The 8,848-nt window shown below is 37.6% G+C and overlaps 1 long non-coding RNA gene across 3 annotated transcripts in view; it reads right to left on the reverse strand.

Annotated features, from left to right (window-relative positions):
• Positions 1–8,848, reverse strand: part of LOC105377543 (uncharacterized) — a 66,783-nt gene that overhangs the window by 20,579 nt on the left and 37,356 nt on the right. The window lies entirely within an intron of this gene.

An 8,848-nucleotide genomic window follows, 5' to 3' on the forward strand; every position in this document is an offset into this window, starting at 1 on the left:
CAGTGACTGATTGTGAGAACAAGAGTAGTGTCAGGAAAAAAGGCCACTCTCCCCCGGCCCTAGTCACAGGATAAATTGCAGTGCTCCTGGCTGCTCCTCAGAGGAAAGAGGCTTATTGGCAGGAGATAGGAGGCAATGAGGATCCACCAACTGACGGACCAGCAAATTCCCAGGACCCCGTTCAATAAAGCCACTGACAGGCACAGTCCCCAAAGAAGAGAGGTGAAAACCACATTCGTGTACCTGAGGTGAAAGACCACCATTAAAAATAAGTAAGAAACTCCAAATGTGTAAATCCTATATAAGCCAAACCATATGGTATAAAATGAATACATTTTCTCCCTCTACCTTTGGCAAAATGGTTTCTTACTGGATTTTATATACAGGAAAGTATTAACCCACCTTTTGCCATGTAGTTTCTCCCTGATATATGGCATTGATAATATAAGTAGTTCAATGATACTTCCACTGTTTGTGTAGCTCTGCGTATAAAAAGAATGCTGTGCACATAGTAGAAGTGCTAAAATCCTGGGGTAACACCTCATACATTAGTGGCCTTCCATGGTGAACAAAGTCATTTTTCAAGCAAGTCATAAAGTAGCCTAAAACACAAGTGTTTCAGTGTTTGCTCCAAATGAGGCAGTGGTCCGGGGACTGCCGTTCATCTGACATCATTTCTGACACAGCCAGCGCTGGTTTGGTATCTGATTAGGACTCCCCGCCACAGTGGTGCCAGACTTACTACTTTAAGTGAGGTGGCTGAGGGAAATTAATGTGTCAGAGTTACCAGGAGGCGAGAGTGTTTGCTTCAAGTTTCCTTTGGAAAGCTTCAGCTGGAATTGCCTTTGATTCTTTCCAAGAGAATCTTTTGAAGCTATTTATGGAGCTTGGTAATAGGTGAAGATGAGCTACCAACAGGAAACTCAGCTAGCATCAAAAGTCAAGCGTGCAGATGTGCAACGATATTTCTAGACAAAAGTGGTCAAATTACTGACTTGTTTAGAGGATGCCTTGGGGTCTCCTGGCAAGTGAAGTAGCCATTTTCCTCAAGGCTGAATTTTCATGATGCACCCTGCACCCGCTGCTTTGTTCTGGAGAATCGTATATGCCCTCTTGATGTCAATGTATTTCCCTTAAAATATAAGTGAAATGCTGCGTACTTCACTGATGCATGAGAATATTGGATAGAAATACCCATAATGTGCTTTGAAACTTTTTGATGAAAAGATGAGGTATACTTAAAAGTATTAACTCTGTAATGTGTTCCTTTCCATCCCTTCTCACCCTCTTGGCCTAGGTATACACATAAAACTTATCCCAATTCCCAGCCCTCTTCACTTCCACTTTCTGGGAAAACTATGGGAACTGTGGATGGAAGATTCTGTGGTGCATATTTTCTTTCTTCAACTGAAGCAATGTACACAAAAGAAATCTATAAATCTTAAAGTCAGCCAGAAATATCAGTTGCTATTATCTTTTTTTGTTTTAGAAAATATAGCATAAGAATACATGCTTTGGATCAGACAGATCTGGTCTCAAATCCTGGCTCTGCCATTTACTCACACATATGTACAGCTCAAGCATGCATGTATGCATTCACATACACAGACATTGACACATGCATGCATGAGTACAGTCACACACTCCTCATGCATATGTTCAAATAGATGCTCACTCATACATGCTCACACACATGTATATTCATGGACACTCATTATATACCTGAAGCTTAAACACACAATTCACTTATTCTTTGCAGTTACGTATGACCAGCAGTTCTGCAGCTATACTTGAGCATGATTCTGTGCTCTCCAGAAGGACACTTTATTTTAAATCTTTTATATAGCACAGGAAGCTTTTTCTCTTAGTTTAAAGGCCAACAACATCAATTTGCAGCTAGAAGATTGAGTTTAAATCCCACCTCCACTACACAGTAGCTGTGTGACCTTGGATAAATTACTAAGCTTGTGTATCTCTCTCTCCTCATTTGTAAATCGGGAATTTATCTCACAAGATTGAGATAGATACTATTATTATTCCCGACTTACAAATCAGGAATAAGCCATTCAGAAAAGTGCTTGGCACATAGTAAGTGCATGTATTTATTTGCTATTAATATTAAGGAATGAAACTCAGCACAGCTAGAAGGAAGATTTCTGTTCCAACACAGCCTTGAATGCAATTTCTATGTGTAAATGAAATGTATTTCATGTGAAATAACAAACATTCAGATCAGGTCATCTTAATACTACACATGACAAAGATGTATAGTTTAATAAATTTTGGGCTTTGCTGGTTTATCCACAGAGAGGGTCAGGTCTGTGCTCAAGTGTCTTTCAGAAGACATGAGCATCTTAGGCTCAAACTCTTCAGGAGATGAGAGTCTGCAGCCCTATTAACAGCCTCTAATTGCCTCAAGGTTCATTTTAAGCTCTAATTCTAAAAGTACAATGATAGGCAAGTATCTGCCCTCTCAGAAATCTTAGAGACTGGGTGGGGCACTAAACCTGAAAGGATATAGAGTCCATGTTTAATATCTATTCTCTTGAGTGATATACATACTCATCATACTTGTTAGTACTCTATTTCCCTCCTACCAAAAACTCTTACATAGCTATATCATTTTGTTTTATAATTAGAGTTGCTTTGAGTTAATAAAAACTATACTAAAATGTTTATTTTCTTGCACGTTCTTTTTATACAATTATGATGCACTTTAGAGAGATAAATAGTGCCTGAATTTGGAATTCTGGGACTGAACAATCAGCCTTATGGGATGTGAAAAGAAGAGAAAGGCATGAGTTGAGTAACATAAGTAAGCAAGATTTAAAGAAATACTAACTCCCAAATTAACATTTTTGGTTATTAATTCTGAATTACTCAGCATTACAGCCTACTGTAACCTTGATTTCCAGCAGGCTTGAAAAGAGATCTTTCATCAACTCGAGTGAAACTTTCTTTTGTAAAAAATACCCTTTGACCTAGGTTACTTCAGGTCTACATGACAGTTGAATAAGTACATCCTTGCAGCTTTACATCTTAGATAGAAAACTATATCTGTGTCTTCGCTCTTCTAAAACCTGCTATTGAAGCAGTTTCATAAGAGTTCATACCCCTTCACTCTTCCTAGGGAGCCATGGAGAGCCTGCAGCTGAGGTACTGGCTTTCCCGCAGCTAGAAGTCTCTAGTCACTTTAGCAACTCATCACCTGCTTCCCATTTTTTTAAAAGAGTGTGAACTGCTTGAAGTTTTCAGATAAATATAATAATGCCTATATTTACCCAATTAACCATTTCTTTCTTTGAGATACCCTGCCTCCAAAAATATTTGATATAAATTATTTTTGGAAAAGGTTTAGAGTTTTGAATAAATTACAATTAAACAGTTATATTTAAACAAAACTTAACAAAGTATATAAATAGGAATAAATGATAAGAATGGAAATAATTTTTTAAATAATCTACTACTTATCAGGTATTATTCTTTATTTAGATTATTTTACTTAATCCCTACAACAAGCCTGTAAGTGAGTTACAAGTTGTTAAGGATAAGGAAACAAAGGAATTATCTAAGGTCATTCATTATATGTGTAAGAGATGAGATTTTTTTCTAGATTGAAGCAACTAAATATTCTGCTTTTCTAATATAGAAATACTTTATGAATATTTTAAGCATGCTACTTATTTTTAGTATCATTATTTTTTAAATCTAGATTTATTAAGGGCTTAGTATGTACTGTGCATAATGAAAAATAGGATTCTCATTTTTAAAGATTTTATAATTTGGTTGGAGAGAGAAGGCACACAACTCATACTCTCAATAATCATGTCACTCTGTAAACCAGAATGTGGTTGTTTGTCCAAATAAGTGGGGCAAATAGGAGTAAAGAAAACTAGGTCAGTATGCATCTGTGGAAAACCTCTTGGAGGAAAGGCAATCAAACCAGGTCCCAAGGATGGGCAGCAATGTATGAGAAGAAGGCAGAAGCTATCACCAACCTGGGGTTGGAGCTCTGTACTGTGCATTCAGGTGACGACAGGGAAGCTCCCCAGCACTAACAATGTGCTCTGATAGAAGAGTAGTGACAAGTAGAGGGATGACCAGATTGACTAGGCTTGAAATTCCAGTTGGAGAGTCTGGACTTAATGACATAAGCAAAGAAGATAATATCAGAATTTTATGAACACTAAAGAGTCATAATGATGGCAGTATTTAAAAATATTTATGGGACCAAAAAGGACTGTAATTGACTATACAGTTTGGAGGATAATTAGGACAATTTAGGCTTGAGGTGATGAAGTCTGGCCCAAGGTGATAGTACACATATAAAGGGGGAAAACAGAACCTGAGGACTCATTAGATGTATGAGATCTAGGGGAAATGTTCAGTGATAATTGTTTGATTTGAAGAAATAGTTTTACAATGTATTTGATTACACAGGAGAAGCTATCTTATCTGATAAAATTGATACTGGTATTTGGTTGTATAAGTGAGTAAGTTAAAAAAGGAAATTACTAGAAAAAATAATATATAAATGTAGATTAAGCATTTTTAGTTATTTTGAAAATAATAAATGCTCATGCCTTTACCAATATTTAATCCAATTCCAAGATTTCCTTTCATGAATATGTTTATTGGGGGTCTAAATCATCCTTTTTTGTGTGTGTAAATCACACACTTACAGCACGATTTACAATTCCAAGTGCTTCTTTAAGTGAATTCAAAACTTAAAAACAATTCCAAAACAATATGATTTTAAAAATTTATCTACATTTTGTTTTTTCCAACCTCTCAAGTTATATCACCTGTATCACATTCTACAGCAGTCAATTCAGTGACTTGCTTTACTAACTCTTTCCAAAGCACTCCTTTTATTTTTCATAGAAAAAATATCTTTTTGCACTATTTCATTGATTTATATAATTTCTAATTATATATGTATAATAACAAGTACAACTGGCATAAATAAGTTTAGAAAAATGCAATTGACTCTCGATTTGAAGATGATTCAAGCAGTGACCACGGGAGTGCATGGGATCCTAGAGCAAAAGCTTGTAGGTGGGGTGGGAACCCTCAATGGCCGCCAAGCAGCAGTCACTGTGTTGTATTCATAGAATGGAAGCACTAGTTCATGCAGCAATCCAGCAAAACAGAGACTGGTGAAGAGCTTATATTGCTCCACAGAAAACACATTCCTAAAAGTTAAAGGTAATTGATATTTATGGTAGTTATTGTGTGCATTAAAATGGAACTTGACATGAAGTGTTTCTCATTTCATTATAAGAGAACAGCTTGACTTTAAAAATATAAACGCTTCATATTTTCTCTGGGGGAATTGTTAGTTTAAAACACAACAAAGAACAAACCTAACAATTCCTAAACTTACAGCAAAACCAGGGCTGTAAGCAGATAAGAAATAATTAGAATGTGCTATTATAAGGTAATAAGTTTAAAAAGTATATTTAAGTCATAGTTGCACTCATTTCCCATATTCTTATTTTGTTTTTGTTTTTGTTTTTGTTTTTGAGACGGAGTCTCGCTCCATCGCCCAGGTTCATCGCAGGCGCGATCTCGGCTCACTGCAAGCTCCGCCTCCCAGGTTCACGCCATTCTCCTGCCTCAGCCCCAGAGTAGCTGGGACTACAGGCACCCGCCACCACGCCCAGCTAATTTTTTGTATTTTTAGTAGAGACGGGGTTTTACCGTGTTATCCAGGATGGTCTCGATCTCCTGACCTCGTGATCCGCCCGCCTCGGCCTCCCAAAGTGCTGGGAATATAGGCGTGAGCCACCACGCCCGGCCTCATTTCCCATATTCTTTACAGATTACCCCAAAGGAACATCTACTTGTTTTTTAAAAAGTATGTTTTCTCAGTTCTTATAAAATTATAAAATATTAATTTGTGAAACCTACTTTAGGAATTTTTTACAACTATCAAAAACACAAATGTGCTGGGTATTCTAGTTTCCTAAAGAAGTGAAGTGGAGCCAAAAAGTTACCATGCACTGTATTTCCTCGAAGTCACCCTAAAGGTCCACAAAAGCAAAGGCTATCATAAAGCATAATATCCCAAAGTTTCGTCTTTGACTTGATGCTTCTATATCTACTATGTCATCTCACTCTCTTTTAAATCTAAGTCTTCCATGGATATATCTGAATGACTGAGCCTTGGTCATGTGCTGGCTCTCTAGCTACAATGACAGGCTGGTTAAGCTAATTTCTTGCTCTACATGGGCATTTCAGACCTCAAATATTTAAAAGTTCCCAAGCATAGGGTCTTAAAATTATAGTTTATAATAATTGTACACAACAGCCAGTAATCAGCTCATGCTATCACATATCAAAATGAATCATTTTTTAAGGGTTAAGGATATAAGTGTGAATATCTTAGCTCCCGATTTTAAAATATAATCAAATTTAACAAAGATCAAATTATCTAAATATCAAAAACAACATAAGAAAACTCAAGTGCATTAATCATTAAAGATTATTCTCTACGATTTTATCTTTTAAGCCCCTATATGTGATATCCATGTCACATTTAGTCTTTTGAGAGATTTTCAAAAATCCACTTTATTGGGTATGTTTCATTTTACAAGCATTGGGATGACCATTAAACAACTCTTTGGTTGCTCAGAAATTTTTAATTATGGCAGGATGGATAGGCATGCAATGTAACACCAAAAAATAGCAATTCATTACTTTGATGACACTGTACTTAAGAAGCAAGGGAGTTTGTTGCTGAGTACTTTAGCCGATAAAGCATTCATTTTTCACCTCCTCTCAGATCTCAGTTTTGGCTGCCTCTGATTCCTTAAGTAAAATTAATTTTGTTATGTCGACTATGCTACCATTAGTTGATAATCCAGGAGGCAAGAGATGCCATGCATATTTCATCATTCCTTCGCATCACAGTGGTTCTGAACATGGGCTGAATATAGACATCGCAGGTGTGCTTCGAGATGACTAACTTAAACTTTAGCTCAGAATTTTTAAAAGCTGGATAAATTGTTGACAGTTTGAGTAGAACCAGTGAGACGTTTGGGTTAATAATTCCAATTTCTATAAGGGAAAATATTGTCAGATTTAACAAGATTAACATAAGGATGTTCTATGGTCACTGGATTAAGAATTCATGTATGTTTCTTACATTAACTTTGTGGGAATATAAATTACTTTGGGAGTTTTAGTGTTCTGTGTTTGCCCCCCATTAGGACCTATGAAGTCCTTCAGGTTAGAGATGAAATCCTAAATGTCTAGTATGATGCTTAGCACAGAGCACGTGCTCAAAACATGTGGGCAGAAACAGGAGTCTAACTTGCATGAGGGCTAAATGATCCCACTAGGAACAGGATCAAAGAGGGTTTTGGAAGGAATGATCAGGCCCTGGAATGCAGGAATTAAGATTGAAAAGATGACAGAAGGAGCTTTCCAGGAGTATCTCAGATAGACAGGAAGCTCATTTAGAAATAAGAAATAATGAGATGTCTGAGTTTTATCCTAGGCTGCTGATTGAGTTGAAGGCAGAGTGCACTACCCTGTTAGGTGAGTGCTTTTTTGGTACCACTCAAATGTCCTCTGACTCAGCCTTGGGAAAGGTTGTGACAAGTTCCTTGAGTGAGGGGCATTAGAAAACCGAAAGAAAGAGATAGCTTTTTCCAACAGACTTGAAAATCTGGGGGGAAAAAGTCAACTGGAAAGCACTTTGGGACTTTGACAACAAGTTGTAAGGGCAGAGGAGAGCCTGGAGATCCACCCTAGCTACACATCTTTGCGATAGGACTGGCCCTGAGGGTTGGGCATGACATTCCTAATCACAGTCCCTATACCTGGGATTGAGATGAAGATAGTGTCACTCACCAAGGGGATCTAGACGGGATGATGAGTAACATTAGCTCCCCATCAGGGCTGACAAGTGGTTGAGTGAAGATAAGTGCCATGGGCAGCAGCATAAAGAGGTAAACTGCCACCAAGGAGGATGTGTGAGCCACATGGAATCTATCTGGGAATGAGGATGGCCTTTACGGGAAAACTCCAATGTGTTTCTGCACTCAGACCCAAAGACCAATTATATTACTATTGCAGTAAATTTACTCACACTACGATTACACAAATTTATTGACACTACAACTTAGATATAAAGAAAAAATGTAGTTAACTTATTTTGTCTCCCAACTGGTCTCTCAAGAGCACTTACGGGTATTAAGACACAGAGAAAAGGTACTTTTTCCTGTTTCCCATTCAAACTCTTGGAGAAAGATTGCCTTTTAGACTGCCCTGTGCCACTCTGAAACATGACCACCTCAAATTTGGTGGCTCCATGCAATCAGGCAGAAGAAAACCTTGATGCAACGCTTTCTTGGGCTGCTTTAGATTGCACCTAATAAATAATCTGGATGACACCAAGAAGTTCCCACAGGTCCCTGGGTGGGGCTGGGAAGGTGGATGAGTTGCCAACGAATGGACCTGTCATTGGACCTGCCTCAGGTAAAGGTGAGGTGATTCCACAGAAGGAGTCAGGAGTGAAACGCCTAGCAGGGAGCTAGATGGAGAATGAGGAATGGATGAGGCTTTTTTATGTGCTGCCCTAGATTTTCTTGGCCTCTCCCATCTCCTTTCTCTTTTGCTCCTTGCTCACAAAAGAGACTAGCTGCTGTGTCTTATATCTCATTAGAAAGGTGATTGAATCATCCTTCAGAGTGACTTAATAACATTTAAACAATAATATTATGATAACATATAATGAACATAATAAACGTTATTTCTGAGTAGCCCCCAAAGCAAGATATCTCTTTAATAATTAAAATTTCGAGATAAGAAAATGATGCTTGCATTGGGACCATAACAT

This window comes from Homo sapiens, chromosome 4, assembly GCF_000001405.40.
Source record: "Homo sapiens chromosome 4, GRCh38.p14 Primary Assembly".
NCBI lineage: Eukaryota > Metazoa > Chordata > Mammalia > Primates > Hominidae > Homo > Homo sapiens.